This window comes from Homo sapiens, chromosome 2, assembly GCF_000001405.40.
Source record: "Homo sapiens chromosome 2, GRCh38.p14 Primary Assembly".
In the NCBI taxonomy this organism is placed as follows: Eukaryota; Metazoa; Chordata; class Mammalia; order Primates; family Hominidae; genus Homo; species Homo sapiens.
Window position 1 is genome coordinate 112,973,791 of NC_000002.12, and position 26,790 is coordinate 113,000,580.

Genomic DNA, 26,790 nt, shown 5'->3' on the forward strand with positions numbered 1-26,790 from the left:
TAGTTGTAGGGGAGATATTCCTTTTTTCTACAAGATGTGAATGACTGAGCATACAGTTCTGATTGACACAGGCAGCCCTCTAATGGCCTTGGAGAAACCTGGCCTTAAGTTATGAATTAAACTTAAGACCAGAGAGAATTTTTAAAAATACTGGTCCTTGCTCACCTTATACAACTATCAGGTCAGCAACTCTGATAATTAATAATCCTAGACTTCCAATTATGTAACCTAGTAAATATTTTTATTGTTTTAGCCACTTGAATAGGATTTTTCAGGTTTCGAAGCTGAAAATAACTTAAATTGATAGACTCTTATAAGTACACATATGGGGCCAAGCGTAAACACATTATCATTTTTAATAGCCTCTACAAAATTGCTTTCCAAAAAGTCTGCAATGATTCACACGGCCATCCATGTGGTGAGTGAATCTATTGTCTCACACTATTGCCTACTATCTTTTTAATCTGTGCCTTCCTAATGGGTGGAAACTGAATCTCAGTATTGCTTTGATTTGCATCTTGCTAATTACCAGTGTGGTTTACTATAATTACTTATATTTATTGGACATTTATATTTTCTACTCAGTGAAATACTTTTTACGTCAATTGCTCATTTTTCTATGGAATTATTTGCACTTTTCCTGCTGCTTAGTAAGAATTATTTATAAACTTTGGATATTAATTATTTGTTAGATGTGTTACAAATATTTTATCTTGGGTAGTCTGTCTTTTTAAATTCATTTCATGATGTGTTTTGTCCAAAATTCTAAAATTTGGGTGATATTCAATTTATCATCTTTTTTTTTTTATATGGATTTTGCACTTTGTGTGATTTGGGGCAAAGAAGGCTAAGGGTTCTCTGTCATTTGGCTCTTTGTCTAGGAATTTCAAACTCTAGGCATTTAACCTGGACCCCTTTCTCAGGAGTTGCACTATGTGCTGTCTAATTAAGGCTTTTTATTGCTTTAGTTCTTTGTTGTTGTTGCACATAAATGACAATTTAACCAATAACTGTTTTAAATTTAGAGAAATATGCCTTTACAATAGTCCTATATGGTTTGGTTCTTTAGTCTTAACTCTTTTAATGTTTCTATTTATTACTGCCATTTTGATGTGTAGCTTTGGGGTTATTTTTGTTACTCTGTCCTTCATTTAAATAGCGTGTTGGCCTATGTGCCAAAGTCTGGGGTTTCATAGAAACCAGCTTCAGGAAGATGTAATGGATCAGCTCATAGGAAGCAAGTCTTTGATAATGGGCTTGGGCTATGTGGAGGAGCAGAGGCTTTCGGCCATGTCCATGCACATCATTCCATCTACGTTGGGTAAAGGCTTTACCACAGAGCCTATGCCAAGAGCTTCCTTGGCATTTTCCCAAGTCCACTAGAGTACAAATGGCCCCACACTGGTCTCTGTGGTTCATGGTACACACCATGTTGCCCCACCAATTTAAGCGAGATGAATGCCAACTTCTTTCCAGTGGCAATCTTCAGGCCAGGTTGCCAGCCTGCTTGTAGATAGCCCTTGATAGGTAATAGGCCACATGGCTTTGGTCCTCTTTGGGGGCCCCAAGGAGGACCTATGACTCCAGCAGAGAGCTCTGCATTTGGAGTCCGGAGTTATAGATTCTAAGTTTAATTTTACTACTAAGGTGATTTTTTTTATGGTTGGCAATGGTGGGGGCTGAATAACCTTTACTGCTCCATGGCTCCCTCTGCTTTGTTATGATTGTGTGCCTGGTTTCATGAAAAAGGTGTTGTAGAGATTCTAGAGATTGTAGTGGTGGTCAGTAATCAAGTTCTCTTACCCTACCTGCATTTCATTGATATTCCCTCAACTTAATAAGGTAATGAGCATGTTAAGTGAACAAACTAGTAGCAGGGCTTATTACCAAATGAATGTAGATTGACAGTGTCATAGAGCTTGGAAATTAGAATCTGGACTAAGTGTTTTCTTAAAATCATTTTCATATCTAGGGAATTTGGCCTTGTCAGTACTTATGGTAATTAAATTCAAGCCACACTTAATGATAAGCATCATTGTCATTGTTCTCCATGATAATAAATCGTTGATAATAAATAAAACAATCAATGGTAATAAATAAAATATAGCAACGCTATGTTCTTTACTTTTTATAACCAGAATCAATATTGATGGTTTTCTCAAGTACAGCCAGGGTATCATGTAATTATAACATCCATCCCTTCCACTTTAAGATAAACGTTCGGGGCCATTTCTTCAGTAGATGTGATCTCTGCTCTTTACTGATCAACCCCAGTGATTCAGTTCTCCCCTTTTATCATCATCACTCCTACTCCCTCCAATTTCTCTGATACTTATTCACACTAACAGTTAAACTAGGGACTTCAGGATGGATGCTGAGTGCTGGGAATTCTAGGAAGGGCTGGATTCTCTGAGTGCTTGGAATCTATTGAAGGGTCAGGACCAAGTGGAATGAGGGCGGAGGCTGAAGAGGACACATGTCACCCTCTTTTATAGTTTTTGCAACCTTCATCTGGGCGTGGGAAGTTCTAGCTGTACCCACAGGCTTTTGAACCAAAGAAAATTCAGCTGTTAGAGCTGTGTCCTGTGAGTCCTCTGAGCATCCTCTTCTTGACCCCTCCCCTCCACCTTCATGCTCCAAGCATTGACCAGACTGTACTCTCTTTTCAGAGGTCTGAGCATCAATTTGGCAGAGAACGCCTCACCTCCGACTCATATCTGGGGATAAGTCCTACAAAAGCGCTCCTTTGAGACCTAGGTTCTTTTGTTCCCTTTTGTTTCCTTCCTGTAGTTGTTACTATCTGAGATACCACAGCAATCCCTTAATCTTCTTTGGCTTTCCAACACACGTGTATCTAGTTCCTTTTATTCAATTCCCTTTGTTTGCAATTCCTAGCATGGATTCTGCTTTCAGAGGGATCCCAGTTGGAAATTCAGGCTTAAGGGATTTGGGGGGTCAAATGATGGGAATTTTAGATGCTGTTTTGTGGTGAACATCCCAAGAAAGGAGTTATGTTGACTGATGTGTAATGGAGGGGATTTTTAACAGGGCAATGGAGACTCAAGTGAGGTGGCACTGGCTCAGGTTGACTTTGAACAAAAGTGCACCTGGCATTACCACACTCTTTCCTAGGGTCACAGAAACACTGGAAGCCAAAAGTGATAGAATTGGGGCCATGGCAGGAAAGGACTGTGTTCTTCCAAGGCCAGAAAGGAGATTAGGGTGAAAAGTAAGAGACGTTGAGTCAGGAGACTCTTTGCAGGGCTGGGAAGAGGGGCTCATGGATGAGCTTATCTGGAAGGTTCTGTCTCATTCTTTGTGCTTTTCTTCCTTATAGATGGGTAAACCTGAAGCTGTTAGTGCTTCAAGTCTGTCTCCTAAAACTCACTTCACTCTAGTAGTTAACTTATACCTCAGTAAATTTTTAGGCTTGGCTACAGCAGATAGGATGGGGTGTATAAACAAGATATAAAAATAACTATTACCACTGATCAGGAACCTAGGGCAGAGGGTGGGGGATAAGCTGGCATCTGGGGCTCAGATTTGGGAGAAATCGCTGCCCACCTCTTTACTTCCTTAGGCAGTTCTGGAGTCCACTGCATTTTGAGGGTACCTGAAACTAGGATTGCCTCAGTTAAAAGACCAGTCTGCATAGTCCCTGTGGCTCCCCATGTGGATGGAGCTGAAAGAGTGTTAGGTAGGGGAGCTCTACTGCCTGGCTTTCCATTCAGGTGTGGCCTTAGGTGGGGTAGTTGAGAAATGCCACAGGGACCTTGCCTGAGACGTGTGGCTAATTTTGCTCTTACAGGATGCCTTTAGCCTGACTGCAGAGGGCAAGGCTCCCAGTCCCAGGAGATGGAGTCCCTGACATGAGAGTGCCTGGCATTTCCAGTTCTAGCTCTAGAATGACATGACAGGAGAGCTGAACTCTGGGAAATTCCCTTAGTTTCCCCTTTATGAGAAACCTAGGATCTGTCATCAACCTCATTTCCTTGTGGTTGATTTTGTGCGGATTGGCTCAACACTTATTTCTCAGCGAGCCCGGACAGGTGATACTTGTGCTAATTCTGTGATTTCTTCCTCCGAGCCTCACAGGATCTTCTGGTAGGAGGAGCTGGTTTTCTTTCATGTCATACGTTTCTCATGCCCCACCCAGGAAGCTGGAGCCTCCTTCTCTGCTCATCCAGATAAATGATCCAGGCTCCATTAGAACCCATCACTGACCTTGGAAGCTGCTGGAGCCACGATTCAGTCCCCTGGACTGTAGATAAAGACCCTTTCTTGCCAGGTATAGTCAATAGCTGGAAAACCTCTTCTCCCTCCCTCTGGAGCCTTTCCTCTCATCTGTGCTTTGGGCTTAATGAAGGGAAGGGCCACATCAGGCTGGCTCTGTGCTTTGTCCTATGTGTGGCTGCTTCTTACTGGGGAGTTGCTGGGATCCTGGCAGAGTGGCCCTGGCATGGGACCCTCCCCTGCTCCTAGGCAAAAACAATGCCGATGAAGGGGTGGAGGCTTCAGAGAAGAGGAGTCAGGGCATCAGGTGCCTGTGGGTTATTTAAGGTCAAATTTTATGCCTGGCCTTCGAACTCCTAGGGGAGACACTACCATACTATCTGGATCTCCAGGTGGAGGAAAATTCTACCTGTTCTCCCTTTGCTGATGCTTCCTTCAAGTTTCGTCCCAGATGTGGCTCAGAACTTCTGCCCAGAGCTTCGTGTCAGGCCAGGTTTCCCAGCTCCCTGTCTAGAATGAGGGCCTGTGGAGCTAGTGTCCTGGAAGGTCTTGGAAACATCTCTTGTGGTTCATCTGTTCTATGTCTGCTTTCACAGGTGCTGAGACAACCACACTATGAGAGGCACTCCAGGAGACGCTGATGGTGGAGGAAGGGCCGTCTATCAATCAAGTGAATCAAATGCTGTTGGGATGGGGCTCTGGAGGCTTAGGCCCTCTGCACTCACGCTATCTCCTGTGGAAGCCCCAGCCTTCTCTGCTCCTCTCTGTACACTGCCCTTCCCACCTGGTGCTGCCCACCTACCACTGGGCCCTGGGCTTCTGGAGGGTGGGAGCTATTGCTTAGTCACTGATCCAGCTCCAGTCCCCAGCACCGGGGCCAAGCACAGAGTAGGCACAAAAGAGGGTAGCTGGGCCTTGGCACACAGGTTCTGTGAGACTGCTCATTGCCCTCTGTCTTGATAGTTTGCCCTCTTAAACCAGTGACTTCCCTTGGTAGCCCTTGCCTTCCTCACCAGAGCTCACAACTTCACTAGAAAGAAAGGCTAGGCTGATGGGTGATGTGAGTGCTGTCAGTTTGGGGATGCAAACCCCACACCTTCCTTACAAAATGGCCTGGGTTAGATACTTTTCTCCTGGGTCTAGTAAAGCAGCCTTGATTATAATATTTCTTCATTTTTTTCTCTATCCCAAAATCAGTGTGTAAACCTATTACTGGGACTATTAATGATTTGAATCAGCAAGTGTGGACCCTTCAGGGTCAGAACCTTGTGGCAGTTCCACGAAGTGACAGTGTGACCCCAGGTGAGTGGTCACCCTGTGCCTTCCCCACTGTTTGCACTGCTGTGGCTGGGAAGCTGGCATCAGCCTTTTGTAAAAGTGTGACTTTACAATGGGGCCCACCAGGAGTGGGGAGAATTTCACACCTAATTGGGAAGAGAAGTCAGGGAGAACTTTGGGTTCCACTAAGATGAAGAAGCCAGAGATGGTGGAGGAGCCTCCAAGGGAATAGGAAAGCTGCTGTCAGTCATCTGAAGCCCTGTCTTATGGAAGACTAGTAGCTTGTTCTGCATGACTTCAGGGTGTCCTAAAATGACTAAATGGGTGAATACCACAGAAAGGCAGGTTTCAGCATCACATTGGGAAAAACTTGCAAAAGGGACCAAGCTCTCCAAGAATCAGAGGGGCTGCTTGATGTAGGAGCTCCCCATCTCCATGTGCTCAAGCAGAGGCGTGAGAATCTCAAGAGCATACTCTGTTGTCTGCTTAGCTCTCTGTGTTTGCTCATTTACTAGGGCAGTGATTGGCACATGGTATGAATGAATGAATGAATGAATGAATATGGGGGTTGGCCATTTGGTGGGTCTAGTTGGGATTACACTCTTCAGCTCTCTTCCAGATCCACTTGAGGATACTGCCCTGCTAAATCAAATAATCTTTCTGACTTCAAAAGGAAACTGATACCATCTCTCCTCTTATCTTTACAGTCACTGTTGCTGTTATCACATGCAAGTATCCAGAGGCTCTTGAGCAAGGCAGAGGGGATCCCATTTATTTGGGAATCCAGAATCCAGAAATGTGTTTGTATTGTGAGAAGGTTGGAGAACAGCCCACATTGCAGCTAAAAGTGAGTAGCTAAGAAAAATATTTAAAAAGCCTTTCCTTTTAGAAGTGTTTGGTTGAATACCTAATTTTAGAATTAAAAAAGAAATAGTCTCATCTTCCTAAGCATATTTATTCCCAGCCTCTTTTAAGTTATGTGCATGCAATACACTTTTCTTTTTATTCTGGCTGTCAGTAGTTAAGGTCCTTGTTTTGCTTTTTTTTTTTCCAAGCCAAACTGCATCCAGCTTTATTAAAGATACTTTCCATAAACATTCATGGTATTTCAGGCAGGATATGGGCAGACAATTGTTAAGAGTATGCAGCAAACTTCAAACTCCCTTGTTCAAAGGACTACCAAAAATCAGAAAGCCACTATAAAACTCAATGAAGTCTTCATCTGATGCTCTGAACAGGGAGAGTTTAGAGTGAGAGTTGACATTTCACATTTAGCATGTGGTTTAAACTTTTCACAAGCCAACCCTGACTTTCAGGAAGTGAAATGAAAATGGTAGAATTTATCTGAAGATCCACGATCTAGAAACAGAACCACTGCTCTTTTGACAGGTGCCATCTCAGTGGCATCACTGGAAAGTCCAGAGTGCCTGACATACTGGTAACCAATGATTGAGGGCCAGGTCCCAACAGATGTCTGGCTTAAAGGAGTTAAATCTATGCTGAAAGATGGAAAGGGAGAAGAGGACATAAAAATGAATTTATTTTCCATACCACAAGGCTTTTCTGCCAAGGTGGCCATGTGTGTCAAAGTCAGAGAATCCCTCCTCCTGGGAGCCAAGAGGAACTCTCTCAAAACTAGAAGGGAAAGGTGTTTTCCCCACATCGATCCAGCTTTGGAGACATTCTATTAGTGACATATGCCCCTTCCCCTAAAAACAACAATGAAGTGTTCTGGGTGCTAACAACATAGCTTAAAAAGAAAAGTAAAACAAAATTCTGCATTTTTATAAAACTTGATAAAAAATAGTTTTTCAAACTGTACAGTCACCAGAAGTACACAGTTATCAAAAATGCACACACTACACTTGGCATCTGCAGCACCTTCAGCTTTCTGTGCCTTCCCTGTTTTGGCATCTCTATTTTCTGCAGAGTTATTCCCCTCCTTGCCAGCATCAGCTTTTCCCTTTTTCCCTTTGGGTACCTTCTCTCCCTTCTTTGCAGGGGCATTTTTAGGCTTGGCCTCTGGATTTGGAGGAGCAGGTTTAGCAGACAACTTTGCGGGCCTTCTCTGTGGTTCGTCCTTCACCTTGGCTTATCTCCTTCAGCATCCCCTTCAGCCTTTCTCCTGGGCATGGTGGTGGCCACCCCAGCGGGATATAGGCACTGGATGCAGGATGCAGCATTGTGCGGGTTTTGGTCAGTCTGGGGGCTGTTCTTGCCTCTTCTTCACACTGCTCTGTCTTTCTTAACCTTTGATATATTCTTGGCCATCATTTCTTCAAGTATATTCTCACCCTTATTTTCCTTTTGGAATTCCTATTCATCCATCGTTGGAAGTTATGAATCTCACTTCAATATCTCACGATATCTCATCTAATTTTTTATACTTTCTATCCCTTCATTGCTTTTTAAAATTTTGGTGTTGCATCTGGAAGAATTTCTTGCTTTGCTCTGCCAGCTCATGGTTACATTTTCAGTGTTGTCCCTTCTGGAAATCATCCTTTTATAGCATTTCCTGAAATTTCAATCTTTACTCTTTTAATTCCCAAGCTCTCTGGTTTGTTCTTTTTTTATTTTTTAATGACTGTTTGTCCTCGTTCCACAAACTTCAGTTTAATTCAGTTTGATTCAACTCAATCCAATTCAATTAAGCGCATGTATGGGTACTTCCTGGCCTCTAGCACTGCGTAGATGCTTGAGATATAGCTGTGCACAGAATGGCAAAGAACCCTGACCATGTGGGGCTTGGATTCTAGTGAAAGGAGAGAAATGGCAAACAATAAATGTAATAGTAGGCAAATTTGTGCTATGTTAGAGGTCTTTACCTCTCCTAGAAAAATAAAAATGGTTACAGCAGGATAGATAGACCAGCAGTACCAGGAACACAGGCGGCGTCAGGCTGCAGTGGTGAATAGTGCAATAGGCATCATTGCCTAGGTGAGATGTTAGCAGGGAGTAGAAAGAGCTAGGGAAGTTAGTTAGCAGGTGTCTAGTGAGGGCACGTCCCAGGACCAGTGAGGACCGGTGTGCAGGAGTGAATTGAGGAATGAGTCCAGAGAGATAAAGGCAGACATGAAAGTCTTGTCCTTTGCAAGGACTCAGCCTTGCAATCTGAGTGAAATGGGAAATATTAGAATGTTTTGAACAGAGGAATGGCGTGAAGGGGCTTAGGTCTAAAAAGGATCTCTCTGGAGATCTTAGACTGTGGCGGGCAAAGGTGAAAGTCCTTCAGGAGACTTTGAGGTGGTCTAGGTGTGATTTGATGGGCCAGGAGATAGCAGCAGAGGTGGGGAGCAGTGAGTCAGATTCTGGTAGTATTTTAAGTGGAGGAAACAGGATTGTGAGTGTGATCAATAAAGTCAGGACTGAGAATGACATTTGCTACTTTGTCCTGTCAGCTAAGTCACCCTTATGTTGTGCGTTTGTTCTCAGATGGGGACTAAGAATTGACTGTTGCGTTTGGCAATGTGTGGGTCTTTGGGGACCTTGGCAGGAGCAGTGTTGGTGCTGTAGTGGGGGCAAAAGCCTGGATGGAGTAAGTTTAAAGGGAGGAATTACAAGAAAGGGATCAGAGACAGCAGATATGGACAGCGATTGCAGGAAGTTTTCTGCAAAGTGGAACTGGTGGCGGTGGTGGGTAAGCAAAGTAGTTATTTTGTTTAAGATGGTAGAAATGACAGCAAATATGCTGATGGGAATGACTAAGAAGAGCAAGCAAAATTGATGGAGCACAAGAGAGCAGGGAGAACGGCTAGAGGGATGTCCTTAAGTTGCAAGTGCAGATAGGACCTTTCACCCAGTCCTCCTCAAGCAGGGAGGTGCAGATATGGGTGCCATGTGCTGGGAGCCCATGTTATGGTGTGGTTTGTACAAGTTGTCTTCTAATTACTTCAATTTTCTCAGTGGGTAGGAAGTTGAAGGTGATGATGGAGGAGGTATGGGAGTTTCAAAGGAGGAAGCATTCTTCCATTTATTAAACAGCAAATCTCTGTTGAGTAGAATGCTGGGGGCTTTCCTCTGTGTTGAGGAATACAGTGATGAACAAGTCTAACAATCATTCTGGGATTGATGAATAAATACGCTAAGTTTAGATAGCAGTTGGTACTAATGAAGAAAATAACTCAGGAATATGATCGCAATGAGTAGGAGGGAGGATTCCAAACCGATTTTGGCTGGGATGGAATGTTCAGTAAAGTTCTCCCCAAGGAGGAGACCCAGGTGATGGGGAGCAGCTGGCCTTGGGAAGATGTGGGGCTGGTGTGAGGTGCAGGGAGAGTAAGTGCCAGGACCTTGGGTGGGAACAGCTTGGTGTCTTGGAAGGCAAAGAAGAAGACAGGTTGGTGGGGGCAGAATGAGCATGCAGGAGAGTGGTAAGAAGGCAGGGCAGCAGGTAGGCAGGAGCTGGGTGGCGTAGACCCTGTGGGCTTTGCCGAGGAGTTTCACTGTAATAACAATAGAAAATCATGCAAAAGGGTATCATAATCTTATTTATTTACTTCAGTTTAAAGTTCACTTACCTGCCTTATGGAGAATGATTATTAGAGAATAGAGTAGGTTCAAGGAGAACATTTAGAAGGTCACCCTAATTGTCCAGGTGAGAGAGTGATGGCCTGGATTGGGGTTGATGCCATGTGTGGAGTGCAAGAAGTGACTCGATTCAGGAAATATTTTGGTATTTTGGAAATAGAGTCCACAGGCCTTGCTCCTGGGTTAGATGTTAGGGGATCAAAAAAAGAAATGTCAATAATGACTCCTAGGTTTCTGGCCACCCAAAGAATCAGATTAACTGGAAGCCATTAATTGAGTAAAGGAATCCTGTGGGAGAAGAACTTCTCACTCAGGGTGGAATGTGGCTGAATTACAGATCATTTCTGTGTCTCTCTTGAGATCTTGAACACTTGCAATTTACTTAGAAATACTTATTTTACCTAAATATACAATGCATGTACATACAAATATATAGACATACAGAATATAGTTCCATATACAATATAGAAGGCATTTTTTGATTGCTCTATTTACCTTCTTCCTTTGATACAAATCCTTTGATTTGTTAGACCCTCTTGGGTCTTTTTCATTGGTATTTATCTTTCTCATATATGTGGCAATTAGTCAGAAATTCATACCCTAACCTGGCTGTCCTTTGTCACGCCGGTGGTTCTTGCAGGGTAGTGACTCTCACTGTTGTGGTATTGGTAAGGGAGGTAATTTCCAATTTCTTCCTCTTCCTAAGGGTCACCTCAGCCTCTTGTGTGAGAAGAGTTCTAACTTGTTGTTCAAGTGTGGCTGCTTGTTCATTAAACTCTCCCTTGTAAACTTCCTACACCATCTCTGGATTTGAGGGTGGGGGCTTGGAAGGTAAAATTTCATGTATGTTTACTCTGCTGCTCCTTCAAAATGTGTGTTTCTCTAGGCCTGCTCTAATAGATGGATAAGGTTTTCTGGAACTTTGGAACATTTATTGAATTATTATGAATAACCTTGAATATCTCAAACAGCTTCTGTTTCTCCTAATGGGTACTTGTTCTGACATTTCAGGAGCAGAAGATCATGGATCTGTATGGCCAACCCGAGCCCGTGAAACCCTTCCTTTTCTACCGTGCCAAGACTGGTAGGACCTCCACCCTTGAGTCTGTGGCCTTCCCGGACTGGTTCATTGCCTCCTCCAAGAGAGACCAGCCCATCATTCTGACTTCAGAACTTGGGAAGTCATACAACACTGCCTTTGAATTAAATATAAATGACTGAACTCAGCCTAGAGGTGGCAGCTTGGTCTTTGTCTTAAAGTTTCTGGTTCCCAATGTGTTTTCGTCTACATTTTCTTAGTGTCATTTTCACGCTGGTGCTGAGACAGGGGCAAGGCTGCTGTTATCATCTCATTTTATAATGAAGAAGAAGCAATTACTTCATAGCAACTGAAGAACAGGATGTGGCCTCAGAAGCAGGAGAGCTGGGTGGTATAAGGCTGTCCTCTCAAGCTGGTGCTGTGTAGGCCACAAGGCATCTGCATGAGTGACTTTAAGACTCAAAGACCAAACACTGAGCTTTCTTCTAGGGGTGGGTATGAAGATGCTTCAGAGCTCATGCGCGTTACCCACGATGGCATGACTAGCACAGAGCTGATCTCTGTTTCTGTTTTGCTTTATTCCCTCTTGGGATGATATCATCCAGTCTTTATATGTTGCCAATATACCTCATTGTGTGTAATAGAACCTTCTTAGCATTAAGACCTTGTAAACAAAAATAATTCTTGTGTTAAGTTAAATCATTTTTGTCCTAATTGTAATGTGTAATCTTAAAGTTAAATAAACTTTGTGTATTTATATAATAATAAAGCTAAAACTGATATAAAATAAAGAAAGAGTAAACTGAAATTAGCAAGAGTAGTTGAATAAAGCCATTGCAGTGGGTAAACCTGGGACTGGGGCTTAGCTGGGGACAAAAGGGCCTTCCTTGGTGGATAGTGATGGGGTGGGGGTGAGAAATTCAGTATGTAACAGGGCTCTGCTGTTTGGCTCCTTTCTTTATGGTCGAATAGCCTTGGTTTTTCCCTGCTTCCTCTAGTCTTTTCCTTTTAGACCATCTCACCATTCACATACTTTTTTCAAAAACTTCAGTAAAGATGTCTTTTTTTTCTTCTTGGAAGAGAAAGCCTTGCTTTCCCAACAGCCACCTTTAGAAGATATATTCTGACGAAATTAAATAACTGACTGATATAGTTTGCATGTTTGTCCTCGTCCAAATCTCATGTTGAAATGTAATCCCCAGTGTTGAAGGTGGAGCCTGGTGGGAGGTGTTTTGGTCATGGGGGTGGATCACTTGTGGCTTGATGCTGTCCTCACCATAGTGAGTGGGTTCTCACAAGATCTGGTTGTTTAAAAGTGTGTGGCACCTCCACCCTCACTCTCTCTGTTGCTCCTGCTTTTGCCATGTGATGTACCTGCTCCCCCTTCACCCTCTGCCATGATTGGAAGCTTCCTGAGGCCTCCCTAGACGCCAAACAGATACCAATACCAAGCTTCCTGTAAAGCCTGCAGAACAGAACTGTGAGCTAATTAAACCTCTTTTCTTAATAAATTACCCAGTCTTGGCTATTTCTTTACAACCATGAAAGAACGACCTAACACACTCACTGTGGGTATAATTGTAGAAATATATACCTCAGATCTGATTCTGTATATAATAGATTTCTTTATTTTTACTCTAACACTGAAAATGCAGAACATTCTGTTTGCTTAAGTACATTCTTCAAAATAGCATAGCAACTTATTTTTTTTTCTACTTTTGGGCAATCAGACTGCATCCACTACTAACAATTACAATAAGCAATCAGCAAGCATGGATTTAATGTGATACCTCTTTATTCTTTAACTTTTTCTTTTTGGGGGGTTATTTTTAATTAAACATTTAAAAATAATTTTTAAAGCTCAATTTTTACATATCTTTTTAAATTGACAGATAACAGTGTATGTTTTTATTGGGTACCACATGATGTTTTGAAGTACATATACATTTGTGGAATGGTTAAATCTAGCTAATTAACAAATGTACTGCCTCACATGGTTATCATTTTTTGTGGTGAGAGCACGTAACATCCACTCTCTACATTTTTTGAGAGAATATATCATCATTTACTATAGTCTCCTTGCTGTAAAATAGGTCTCTTGAAAGTTATTCCTCCTACATAACTGTAATTATGTAGCCCTTGGCTAACATCCCCCCATCCCTCCTCCTGGCTAACTACACTAGCCTCTGGTAACTACCATTCTACTTTCTACCTCTATGAGATCTACTTTTTTTAAAATTTCACATATGAGTGAGATCATGTGGTATTTGTCTTTCTGTGCCTGGCTTGTTTCATTTAGCATAATGTTCTCCAGGTTCATCCATGTCGTCACAACTGGTGGGATTTCAATCCCTTTTTATGGCTAAATAGTATTCCATTATGTGTATGTACCACATTTTCTTTATCTACTCATCTGTTGATGGACACTTAGGTTGACTCAATATCTTGGCTATTGTGAATGGTGCTACAATAAACATGGGAGTGCAGATATCTCTTTGACATAAAGATTTGAATTCCTTTGCATAGTGTGATTGCTGGATCATATGGTAGTTCTATTTTTAATTTTCTGAGCTTCTATAATGTTTTTCAGAGTGGCTGCACTAATTTAAATGCCCCCCAAGGGTGTTTAAGAGCTTCCTTTTCTCCACAACATTGACAGCACTTATCTTTTGTCTTTTTGATAATGGCCATTCTAACTAGGGGAAAGTGATACGCCATTGTGATTTTGACTTGCATTTCTCTGATTAGGAATATTGAGCATTTTTTCATATATCTATTGGTCTTTCTTTTTGTGAAATGTCTATTCAGGTATTTTGCCTGTTTTTCAAACAGGTTATTTATTTATTATTATTATTATTTGCAACTGAGTTGTTTAAGTTCGCTATGTATTTTTGATATTTACCCCTTGTCAGATGTATAGTTTGAAAATATTTTCTCCCATTCTGTAAGTTGTCTCTTCACTCTGTTGATTGTTTCCTTTTCTATACAGAAGCTCTCTTGTTTGATATAGTCACACATTTGTTTATTTCTGATTTTGTTTTTTGCCTTTGATTTTGAGGTCTTATCCAAAAAATCCTTGCTCAGACAATGTTTCTCCTATGTTTTCTTCTAGTAGTTTCATAGTTTCAAGTCTTACGTTTAAGTATTTAATCCATCTTAATTTTTGTATATGGTGAGAGATGAGTCAATTTTATTTTTCTGCGTGTGGATATCCAATTTTTCTAACATCATTTATTTATTATTTTTTATAATAATAATGACAATTATAGCATTTACTACAATGACTTTTAATACTCTAAGGTGCATGTGTGTGTCTCTGTTTTAATATTTTACAAATTGTCACAAAGGCACTCAACCCCATAGAAGACGTAGTATTTTTTAGTGTAAAGCAATTTTTGTAGTCTTGACAAAAATCATTTAAAATTCTGTCACAAAGCAAATTAATTTCCTATTTCATGAATTAAAAATGAAAAGAGACTACAAAAAGCTTTATTTGTTTTAAATCATGTTTCCCTTCTTTTTTGGGGACAAAACAATGTCTACTTTAATTAGGTAAATCTTCCTCAGACTTTGATGTTGTATCATAGCATATATCATAATCTTACCCACTATGTTTAGAGATTGTTTTTTAAATTAAGTGTGTAATAATGCCCACACCTTTATTAACTCTGTTTAGCTGCATTAGTTATGATGATGCTAAAATCTCTCATATTTCATTTTTTCTTGATGTCATTTCATCAAACCATTAAGACTCATGGTTAAAATATAATAAATATATAATAGAGGCATATGTTTATTTAACACAAAGCTTGTTGTTAGTATCATGTTCACAGTGGTGGGAGCCATGACTAATTCATCAGTGTTCCCAGTGCCTTGGCAGTAGGTCTTCACCATTAAATCTCATGTTGTAGAATTACTTTATCACTTGATTTAAAAAGAATCATTTGCTTAATAATTTGCTTAGAGTAATGTTTGCTATTAGTGTATAAAAATGCTACTGTTTTTTCAGCAAAGACTTGGGACTAACTTAAATGTCCATCAGTGTTAGACTGGATAAAGAAAATGTGGCACATATACACCATGGAATACTATGCAGCCATAAAAAGAATGAGTTCCTGTCCTTTGCAGGGACATGGGTGAAGCTGGAAACCATTATTCTCAGCAAACTAACACAGGAACAGAAAAGCAAACACCACATGTTCTCACTCTTAAGTGGGAGTTGAACAATGAGAACACATAGACACAGGGAGGGGAACATCAGGCACTGGGGCCTGTCAGGGGATGGGGGGTAAAGGGAGGGAGAGCATTAGGACAAATACATAATGTGGGGCTTAAAACCTAGATGATGGATTGATAGGTGTGGCAAACCACCATGGCACATGTGTGTAACAAATCTGCATGTGTATCCCAGAACTTAAAGTTAAAAAAAATGCTACTGTTTTTTGAACGTTGATTTTGTAACCTGCAACTTTATTGAATTAGTTTATTAGATCTAACAGTTTTTTTTCGATGTTTAAGATTTTTAGTGTATAAGAGCATGTCAAAAGCAAACATGGACAATTAACTTTCTCCTTTCCAATTTGGACGCCCTTTATTTCTTTCTTTTGTCTGGCTCTGGCTAGGACTTCCAGTACTATGTTGAATAGAAGTGGTGAAAGTGGGCATTCTTTTTTTCTTCCAAATCTTAGAATAAAAGCTTCAAACTTTTCCCCATTCAGTATGATGTTAGCCATGGGTTTGTTGTATATGGCCTTTCTTATGTTCAGATACATTCCTTCTATACCTAATCCATTGAGAGTTTTTATCATGAAGAGATGTTGAATTTTGTCAAATGTTTTTTTCTGCGTCTTTTGAAATGATTATATATTTTTTCTTTCATTTTGTTAACGTGGTATATTATATTTATTGATTTGTGTGTATTGAACCATCCTTGCATACCTGGGATGATTGGCTATGGTGAATAATCCTTTTAATGTGCTATTTGAGTTTGGTTTGCTAGTAGTTTATTATGGAATTTTGCATCTATGTTCATTAGCGATGTTGGTCTGTAGTTTTCCTTTTTGGTGGTGTTCTGGTCTGATTTTGACATCAGGATGATGCTGGCCTTATGGAATGAGTTTGAAAGAATTCCACTCTCTTCAACTTTGTGAAATAGTGTGAAAAGGCTTGGTGTTAGTTCTTCACTAAATGCTTGATAGAATTAAGGAATGAAGCCATCAGGCCCTGGGGTTTTCTTTGATGGAAGAGTTTTAAACTGCTAATTAAATCTCCTTCCCTATTGATCTGTTCAGTCTTTTTATTTCTTCATATTTCAATAGTGGTAGGTTTTATGTGTCCAGGAATTTATCTATTTCTTCAAGGTTTTCCAATTTGTTGGCATATAATTGTTCATAATAGTCTCTATGATTCTTTGTATTTCAGTGGTATCAGCTTTAACATCTCCCTTTTCATTTCTGATTTTATTTATTTGAATATTCTTTTTTTCTTAGTCTAGCTTACAGTTTGCTTATTTTATTTATCTTTTTAAAAATCAGCTCTTCATTTTGTTGATCTTTTTTAGTCTCTATTGATTTATGCTCTGATTTTTATTATTTTTTCTTCTACTAATTTTAGGTTTAGTTTTTTCTTGTTTTTCTAGTTCCTTGAGATGCAACATTACATTGTTTATTTATAAGAGTATATAGTATATAATGCTGTATACTCTTTTTGTCTTTGACAGTTTGATGATTATATGTTGTTGGGTAGTCTTATTTGGGTCCTTTCTTTTTAAATATAGGTGTTTATCACCATAAACATTCCTCTTAGGACTGCTAATGCTGTATTCCATAAGTTTTGGTATATTGTGTTTCCATTTTCATTTTTCTCAAGACATTTTAAAATTTTCCTTTAAATTTCTTTATTGGTCCATTGGTTGTTCAGTAACATGTTGTTTAATTTCCATGTATTTGCAAATTTTACCAGGTTTCTCCTGTTAATTCTTTCTAGTTTTATACCACTGTGGTCAGAGAAGATATGTGATATGATTTCAATCTTTTTAAATATGTTAATACTTGTTTTGTGGCCTAACATATATTCTGTTCTGAAGAATGTTCCATGTTGCAATTGAAAAGAATATGTATTCTGTAGCAGTTAAATGCAATTGTTTTTTGTAAATTTCTGTTAGGTCTATTTTGTCTAGAGTGCCATTTAAATCTGATGTTTGTTAATTTTGTGACTGAATGATCTTTCCATTGCTGAAGGTGAAGTGTTGAAATCCCTTACAATTATTGTATTGCAATCTATCCCTTTCTTTAGATCTATTAATATTTTCCTTGCTGAATTCACCCCTTTGCCATTATATAATGACCTCCTTTGTCTCATTTTTACTTAAATAAAAATTAAGTTTTAAATTTACAATCTATTTTATCCAATATAACTATAGCTACTTCTGCTCTCTTTTGGTTTCCATTTGGGTAGAACATCTTTTCCATCCCTTCACTTTCATTGTACATGTATCCTTATAGATGAAGTGGGTTTCTTGTTGGCTGTGTAAGTTGGGCCTTGTTTTTTTTTTTTTTTTTTAAATTCAGCTACTTTATGACTTTTCATTGGATAATGTAGTTCATTTATATTCAAGGTAATTATTGATTGTAAGAACTTACTCCTGCCATTTTGTTACATGTTTTCTAGTTGTTTTGTGGATCCTTTTTTGCTTTCTGTCTCTCTTACTATCTTCCTTTGTGGCTAATTTTCTTTAGTCGTATGTTTTGATTCCTAATTATTATTTTTAGTGCATAGGTTTTTGCTTTGTGGTTACCATGAGACTTACAAAGACTTTTTATGGTTGTAACAGGTTATTTAAAACTGATGACAACTTAAATTTGATTGCAAAAATTTCTACTTTTTAATTTAACTCCTCTCTCAACATTTTGAATTTTTGATGTCACAGCTTATATCTTTTTATGTTGCATATTCTTTAAGAACTTGTTATAGTTATTATTTATAATAGTTTTGTCTTTTAACCTTTTATACTAAAGATATAAGTGATTTACATACCACCATTATGTTAATAGAGTATTCAGAGTTTGACTATGTACCTACTTTTACCAACGAGTTATATTCTTTCAGATGTTTTCGTGTTACTCATTTGCATCTTTTTTTTCATCTTGCAGAACTCCCTTTAGCATTTCTTGTAAGACAGGTTTGGTGGCGATGAATTCCCTCAGTTTTTGTGTGTCTGAAAAGTCTTTATCTCTCCATCATTTTTGAAAGACAGCTTTGCTGACTAGAATATTCTTGGTTGGCACGTTTTTTTCCTTCAGCATTTTAAAATTCCATTTTCTCCTGGCCTATGAGGTTTCTGTTGAGAAGTTTGCTGTTGGGCATATAGAGACCATTATATGTTATTTGCTTCTTTTCCCTTGCTACTTTCAGGATACTCTTTTTGTCTTTGACAGTTTGATGATTATATGTTGTGGAGTAGTCTTGTTTGGGTTGAGTTTGATTAGAGATCTTTGACCTTCCTGTACTTGGATATTTATATCTTTCTCCAGGTTTGGAAAGTTTTCCATTGTTATTCCATTCCTTTCTCTTTCTTTACTCCCTCTTGAGTACCAGTAACCCATACATTTGCTCTTTTGATGTTACTCCATAAGTTTTATAAGCTTTCTTCATTTATTTTTATTCCCTTTTCTCCACTGACTGTATATTTTGAATTACCCTGTCTTTGAATTCACAGATTCTTTTCCTCTTGTTGTTCAGTTCTACTGTGGATGGTCTCATTGTATTTTTAATTTTTTTTTTCTCAGCTCCAGAATTTCTATTTGAGTTTTTGAAAGTTATTTCATTATCTCTGTTAAATTTCTCTGACCAAATTTTGAATTGTTTTTTGGTATGTTCTTGAAGTTTGCTGAGCTTCCTTAAAACAGGTATCTTGAATTCCTTGTCAGGCAGTTCTTCCATCTCCATTTCTTCAGGGTCAGTCACTGGCACCTTATTTTGTCTGCTTGGTGAAGTGAACATTCCCTGATTTATTGTGATTCTTGTAGCCATTTGTAGATGTCCATGCATTGATGTAAGTACCTAATCTAGTCTTTGCAATCTGGCTTTGTTGGGGAGCTTCCTTTAGCAGTAAGCCTGTCCAGAGATTCAGAGAAGTTTGACTGGGGAGGTCCCTAAGCCTGTGACCATTTCAGCAATTGCAGCACTAGGAGCTGCTCTAAGTCCAGGATCACAATGGCCAGAATCCTTTGGCAGCAGAGGCTGAGGTAGCACTGGGTCACATCCAAAGCTTAGAGTCTCTGAGACCAGCACAGCACTACATAGGGCATGCTCAACACCATGGCCACTATGGCCTGCCCACTGCTGGCAGTGACTTGTACCAAACTGAAGTCCATCTCACTGGTGCCACAGGTTCCTCTCTGGTGCTGGGGTAGATCTAGAGGCTTCATCTACAGGTATAAGTCTGGTGGTAGGGATCAAGTTGTTTGCCCTGTGGTGGGTTTTACTGTGGCAGGCATGGTACTGAGTTCCAAGGTGAAGTCTTACTCTTAATTCCTTTTTCTTTCCCCAAGAGATAATGTCTCTCTCTATACTGCACTGCCTGGGGTTAGGGAAGGGGTGATGTGGGTAATGTAAAACTGTCCTTCCTATTCTCTTCAATGTATCTGTTATTATTATGATGCTAAAATCAAGTACTGTGATCTCTCACCTGGTTTCCTTTGCTCTTGTGATTTTTTTTGTGCATGAATAGTTGATCAAATTGATGTTTCTGTGTGGGATGATTAATGCAAAGTCCTACTTTCCTCCTTCCTCTGCCACTCTCCTCTAAAGTTTTCTTCCTCAATTGAATATAATGTTGGCATTGCAGTTTTATAAAAATCAACACTAAAATAAGTGTTAAAGTTAATTAATTCTGGAATATCCAATAGAAGAATTAGTCATTGGATATTCACTCATATATCCATGCTATGCTAATAAATAGTGGCAGGTTGTTACATCTGCCAATTTATATTATTAATTAAAAGCTGATGACACATTAGCTTGTGACATGATTATGGTTGTAAGTGTTACAGCATCTCCATCCTGCTACAGGCTGTGTGATGATTTGGTATTCCCACCTCTTTTCTCTACTGTGAAAAACTTTGTTTGTTCAGTCACTGATACCTTGGACTTTCACTTGGCACAAATGTGAGCTCAAACAAAAGCTCAAATATGAGTCCTGACATCATGTGGCTGGACTCAAGGGTAAGGTGTTCATTCTGGTGATACAGAAGAGGCTATGATGACAGAGTATAACCAAAATGAAAACACCAATTTATAATAATCTCATAGAAAGCATGTGGAACCCAGAAAACACAGATCTGGGCTCCCTGCCTTACCCAGCACATGTGAGAAATAGTGTATTATGCCATGGTTTACAAAATCATGGAGGATCCCTGCAAGGAGCAATATCTTCATTTTCAGGTGAATAGTCTGGTCCACACCTAGTTTTTACACATTGCTATAGCAAATACTTCTGCATTTGAGAAGCACAAGCTCTAGGCTAATACTCATTGAATAATTTGTTTTCTTTGGACCTTTAGCAATTGGTGTTATAGAAGGTCTGATGCACTAGGAGAAGGGGGATTCTGGGGGCGGGGGCGGAATTAGTAGTCTTATAACCATGCCACCAGAGATTCACAATTGTAGATAAAACAGGTGAGCGGGTTGTTTCTCTGTCAAGTCGCTTTGGGGCTGATATCCTCTCACCTCAGGACTGCTGAAGGGTAATGGCTGTTTCCTGAATCTGGACAGGAAGACTTTGTCTCATAATTCATTAACAACTGGGCATGGGGACTGAAGATGCTGCCCACAGAGTGCTGAAAACAATGGTCATAATTAATAATACATGTCAATAAAATATTGTTTTGTTTCTTAGACTGTTGCTGTGAGAAATCAGCAACAATTACCTTGAGCAAGATGGCAGAGCAAAGTCTGAGACATGTCATCATTAGGGCTGTCCCTATCTAGCAGGGTGTCAGCAAATGACCTACCCAGGGTAGAGTCACCCAAGGTGGAGCACCTGTGCAAATGTCATTACGTAGTGGCACAAGTACAGTAATGTTCAGCACACCTGTATTTCCCAAACTTGAAACTACATTAGAATCATCTGGATATTCACTGAAAACCTAGGGCACTTGTGCTCGCTCCATGCCTAGTAGATTAAAATCCCCTCCTCCAGAAATTGCAACTTACTAAGTTTATGGTGGGACCTAAGAATTAATATTTTACCAAAGACCCTAGGGAGTGCTAATTTCTAAGTAAACATGGGAAATACTCTTCTGGACCATCCAGTGGAGTTTTGTGTGTAAAAAGACACAAATTAATCATGCTTGGAATGATCTATATGCTTCTATAGAAATAAAGAGATATGTAACAATACATACCTCCTGCTTTTTTTGACATTTACTTTTGTAAAGTTGTTCTCTCTTGAGTGATTTAAAAGCAAATTGAAGGAAAATGACTTGTATAAAAAGTTCACATCCTCAAATAAAATTTTTCATATCCCCAAATTGGAAAGAACCGAAATTTCCATCAAGCAGTGAATAGATAAACAAGTTGTGGTGTATTCAATGCTACTTAGCAATAAAAAGAAATCAAGGATGTGGGTGGTGGCACGCGGCACGGCAATGGCAGCAGGCGGCAGCGATCCACGGGCTGACGATGTAGAGGAGGACACTTCACAGCTCCTTTTTCCTAAAGAGTTTGAAACAGCGGAGACCCTTCTAAATTCAGAAGTTCATATGCTTCTGGAACATCGAAAGCAATAGAACGAGAGTGCAGAGGATGAACAGGAACTCTCAGAAGTCTTCATGAAAACAATGAAACTACACAGGCCGTTTCAGTGGTTTCGAAAACAGAGAGACCATTGCCAGTGTTCGTAGCTCTAGAAAAACCTTCATAAATTTGAGTTGGTCTGTTTGGCCAACCTTTGCCCAGAGACTGCTGAGGAGTCCAAGGCTCTAATCCCAAACTTGGAGGGGTGGTTTGAAGATGAGGAGCTGCAGCAGGTTCTTGATGATATCCAGACAAAGCACAGCTTTCAGTATTAATCCCTAAACATCACTGCTGCTTGGAGAAACTATGGCCCCACAGGGTCTGGGGCTGATTTGCATAGACATTTCATTGTAGAAGACAGTTGGGAATTCCTTTGGAGAAAACAGCCCAACTTGCTGTTGGGTTAGGTTGCTGTTTCAAATAATTCGTAGGTCCAGGTGACATGTAATCTTGGAGCAGCCTTGTGCAGTGGCTGCCAGTGGCTTCCTGAGTGTGCCCTGGGAAGTGTGAGGTGGCTCGGGTGGGAGGGGGTGTCATATTAGCCACACTGTTGACTCCCTCATTCATGACTTTTGGCCCCCACGTTATCTTGTATTCTTAATACTTCATGTTTTAATTTCAGTGTGTTTATACGTTTTGAAACTAGACCAGAACATAGTAGACTTTATAGAGAAAGACCAGTTTTATCTAGATGCCAAAGGAAGAATTAAACCACTGTTATTGTTTGAGACTTTTTTTTTTTTTTTTGGAGATAGGGTCTTAACTCTATTGCCCAGGCTGGAGGAGTGCAATGGTGCAATCATGGCTCACTGCAACCTTCTGGGATCAAAAAATCCTCCTGCCTCAGCCTCCCAAATGGCTGGGGCCGCAGTTGTGCACCACCACTCTTGGCTAATTAAAAAAAATTTTATTTTATTTTATTTTAAATAGAGGGTGTGTCTCACTATGTTGCCCAGACTGGTCTTAAACTCCTGGCCTCAAGTGATCCTCCTGTCTTATCCTCCCAAACTGCTGAGATTACAGGTGTGAGCCACTGCACCTGGCCTGAGGAGTATGTAAAGTTCCTGGGCCTCTGTGCATGCCTGAGCAGCTGCTGTTCAGAGACTTCAAGCAGCTCTGTGTCAGACCCCAGGTCCTGGTAATGTGCGCTCACTCCACCTCCTGATCTGAGGGTTGCAAAGATTCATGGGAGAAGTGTGGTTTCCTGCTTCCCTTGGCGGGGTGCTGGGGAGTCCCTTGGCTCTCTGTCGCTAACAGGAGGACTGTCACCTCGCCCTGCTTTCCTTTGTTCTCTGTGGGTCGAGTTGTTTCCCTGATCAGTCCCAATGCGAGTACCTGGATATATCAGTTGAAGGTGCTGTATTTACTCACCCCTTTTTGTTATTTTCCATGAGTGCCACACACTGCAGCTGCTTCTCATTGGTCATCTTGGCCCCCACCAGCAGTTCTTAATTCTAGAGAAAAAATTAAGTTATTCAGGAGACAAAATGTAATCATAATTTACTATATAGCTTAATTGTCAGTAATGTTTATATTGCAATAATAGTGTATATGCTATCCAAAATCATGATGTAAATATTTTGGAAGGATGCATGGATGAATGAGTGTGTGTGTGTGTGTGTGTGTGTGTGTGTGTGTTTATGTAGTAGGGAGTTAGATGAGTTGTGTATGACAATTAAAACTATTTTCCATGGAAGGATGTTAACACATAATGGCTCAAACAGAAAAATCGAGAAATAGCACCACACTCATAGTACTTTGAAAAATGGAGGTAAATATCAAAAACAATTAAAAGAGTAAAAACTGGTTTTCTCTGAGCAGCAGGAAATAATGACTATTCTGTTTTGTAACAAGACTTTGAAGCCTGAGAAAACAGACTATGTTTATGTGAAGCTTTTGTTTCTGGAGATGAAAATAGCAGAGCCAAGAGGAATGATGAAAAAATTCATTGTTGGACTATATGGAAAACTCAGGCTGTGTTCATGGTCTTTGAGTGAACTATTTTCAAGTAAGTGGTCTACCCCTTGATATTTGAATTTAAGATAGTTTACTTTTGTTATTAATACTCTTTCTGTTTTAAGCAAATTGTGATTGTCAATTTTACCAATGGGTTGGAGGCCATAGACTGAGAAAGCAACCCTCCTTTTCTGCACTGGAAGGATGAACCATCATTCTGCCTGTGGGACCTTGCTCTGACATTGCCTTGGATTGGAATCCAAGTCTATGGAGAGGGACTATGTGTTTTCGTTCTTCGTGGGTCCATGTCTTTAAATTTTAATATAGTATTTTTACACTTAAAATGGTCATAAAGGATTTTATTTTACTTTTTCCTTCTGTAAGATTTAGATAAAAGACTTTCTGGCTTTCTCATATAACTGGCTTTATTTTTTCATCTTTATTACTGATGTCTGATTTATTTCTGCCTTTTAAATATTTATTATTTTAGCTTATTTTGTTTTATTTAGATTTACATATGGCTTTTAAAAAAGGTTCTCTAAGAATTTAATGAAGTAATGAGATTAAACACTCAATAAAGAATAGAAATAAACTCAAATAAATATGGAGGTAAATATCAAAAACAGTTAAAAGACAATAAACAAGAATACTTATTGTTGTATTGTCCTGATCATCTCCAGGAAATCCAGGAAGTTGCTTTATAATCCATTTTCTTTCTATGGTGTAAAAGAAATACTGAGTAGGTAAGAAGGAATATTTGTAACAAATATATCTAAGGTCTAAACAAAAGAGACCTATATAAACTCACCCAGATGAATAAACAGAACTAGGAACTTTGGAAGAACTGTATGCCCATCCTCTATTCTATCCTCTTCTCTTCCTCCCCACAGATGTAATTGTCATCCTAAATTTGATGGTAACTATTCTCTTAAATTTTGTTATAGTTTTACCATCTATGTATATGCCCCTAAAATAGATATTGTTTATGCTTTAAACTTTATATAAATGAAATAATACTGTATGTATTCTTTTACATCTTGCTTATTCACATTCTTGGGATTCATGGTGATATGTCATGTCAGTTTGGGTGCTTTGATGAGAAGATGTTAAGAGATTTAATGGGAGACATGCCTGAAGGCCAAAAAAGAGGGATCAGGAGTAGGTAGGGAGAGCATTCAGACTGTGAGGCAGGACTGACACCAATGATAGAAAAGAGAGAAGGAAAGGCCAGGTGCGGTGGCTCACACCTATAATCTCAGCACTTTGGGAGGCCAAGGCAGGCAGATCACTTGAGGTCAGGAGTTCGAGACCAGCCTGGCCAACACAGTGAAACCCCACCTCTACTAAAAATACAAAAATTAGCCAGCCATGGTGGCACGTGCCTATAGTCCCAGCTACTTGGGAGTCTGAGGAAGGAGAATCACTGGAACCCAGGTGGAAGAGGCTGCAGTGAGCCGAGATCATGCTACTGCACTCCAGCCTGGGCAACAGAGCATCTTGAGACTCTGTCAAAAAAAAAAAAAAAAAAGAGAGAGAGAGAGAGAGAAGGAAGGAGGAGTGGGTAGGAAGAGCGTCAGACTGCAGTGCACCTGTGAAGCTCTGAGAAAGTCTCAACCTGGCACATTGGGGAGCCCTAGAGCAAAACTTGGCTGCAGAGGCATTCCACATCAGTAGGAAAGACTGCCATCACTGGCTGGGAGCAGCCCAAGAAAAGAGTGTTCTTGGCAGGAGCACTGCCATGAATCCAAAATTGCAGCAGCTGAGGTTGTCTTCCAACTGTTCTCCTTGTAACAGGTTCTTTTAAAGGGAAGTCTGAGAGTCACACCTCCATGCTCACAATCCACTCTTGTGCTGCATGGACCCCATCCTCTACGTATGTTTGGGAGCAGATCATCCATGCCTCCCATGGGTGTCTACCTGAAGGGAAACTTAGCAGAGGAATGTTAGTGAATGGACTACAGCACCCATTTCTATAGTTGGGCCAACAGTTTGTTCTCATCATCTTTTTTCTCCGCTGTCTATTCTAAATTTCCTTTACCCTCAACTAATAGCTTGGCAGGTCTTAGTGGCTTTCCTGGGGATGTGATCAAATCCCTCACTCTGGCAGTCATGTACTTCTTGAGCTGGGGTTACTGCATGTCTATTCACATTTAGTTATTCAAGGGAATACCAAGAGGTGTCCAAATGGATCACTTGGGTTCCACAAATATTACACACATATACCTCCCTATCTTCATATGTAAAAGCAGCTATACCTCCTCTTACATATACTGCTGGATGGCAGCCCATCCTTCCAAAGTATTACCACTTACATGGTGTTCCAGGTATACCTCCAGGAGGCCATTCAATGCTCCAACAGGTTGCTACTTTTGGGTTGACCAATGAGTCCAGGGAAGTAGTGGAGCAGGCTTATACTGACTTTGCAGGGTCAATTACTACATTTTCAGGATTTTCTGTGTCGGTTGGCAACTTGAAATTGCCCATTATAGTAGTATTTACATCAAGAAAATTGACAAATACTACAAATCAGGGCTTTTCTTTTTTTTCTGGAGAGCCAGTTATTAAAAATGTACTAGTATACCATTAAGTGAACTTAATGATCATGGACCTGTTTCAGCTCTTCCTTCACTATAGGGCCAGTGTTTTGGTTAGCTGCTATGTTGTTTTGGACTCACTGGTTGGATGTTGTATTGCATGGGATTCCATAGGCCCCTGGATAGTGGTTATAGCTGAGGTTCTGAATGTAGGAGAGCAAACCCACACCCAGACTATGTAGTCATCCCTGTGAGGACAAACTGCTTTACTTCCAAGAGGGAGGGGACTGATATACTTAACCTGCCACCACAAGTTTCTGTCTCAGAAAGTTCTTGATTTTCCCTTAATCTGAAAAACTTAAGAAATTTTGCAGAGTATGAAATTCCATTGGAAGGTTTCCTTTCTGCATTTTGAGATATCATTCT

General features: G+C 40.0%; 1 protein-coding gene and 2 pseudogenes across 2 annotated transcripts, besides 1 other annotated feature; 2 read left to right on the forward strand and 1 right to left on the reverse strand.

Annotated features, from left to right (window-relative positions):
- Positions 1-4,215: 4,215 nt before the first annotated feature.
- On the forward strand, positions 4,216-11,868 carry IL36G (interleukin 36 gamma). 2 transcript variants are annotated; one of them, NM_019618.4, is made up of 5 exons: positions 4,216-4,288; positions 4,830-4,903; positions 5,431-5,535; positions 6,219-6,358; positions 11,050-11,868. In NM_019618.4, the coding sequence occupies exons 2-5, from the start codon at positions 4,849-4,851 to the stop codon at positions 11,257-11,259; spliced, it is 510 nt and encodes a 169-aa protein (NP_062564.1). In that variant the 5' UTR covers positions 4,216-4,288; positions 4,830-4,848; the 3' UTR covers positions 11,260-11,868. The 2 variants fall into 2 exon arrangements, with proteins under 2 accessions (NP_062564.1, NP_001265497.1); NM_001278568.2 differs by lacking the exon at positions 5,431-5,535.
- HMGN2P23 (high mobility group nucleosomal binding domain 2 pseudogene 23) lies at positions 7,177-7,753 on the reverse strand (annotated as a pseudogene).
- Positions 21,705-22,346, forward strand: POLR2DP1 (POLR2D pseudogene 1; annotated as a pseudogene).
- Positions 23,027-23,186: an enhancer, noted in NCBI's record as "active region_16409". NCBI's record gives its function as "activates an Ori minimal core promoter by ATAC-STARR-seq in GM12878 lymphoblastoid cells {active_cell/tissue: GM12878}" and the evidence as "EXISTENCE:reporter gene assay evidence [ECO:0000049][PMID:35858748]".

Excerpts from the sequence above, each read along its gene's own strand:
- IL36G (NM_019618.4), top strand. The coding sequence starts at position 4,849 with ATGAGAGGCACTCCAGGAGACGCTGATGGTGGAGGAAGGGCCGTCTAT. Across the intron at positions 4,904-5,430 it reads AAGGGCCGTCTATCAATCAA|TGTGTAAACCTATTACTGGG; the intron begins GTGAATCAAATG and ends TCCCAAAATCAG. Across the intron at positions 5,536-6,218 it reads AAGTGACAGTGTGACCCCAG|TCACTGTTGCTGTTATCACA; the intron begins GTGAGTGGTCAC and ends TTATCTTTACAG.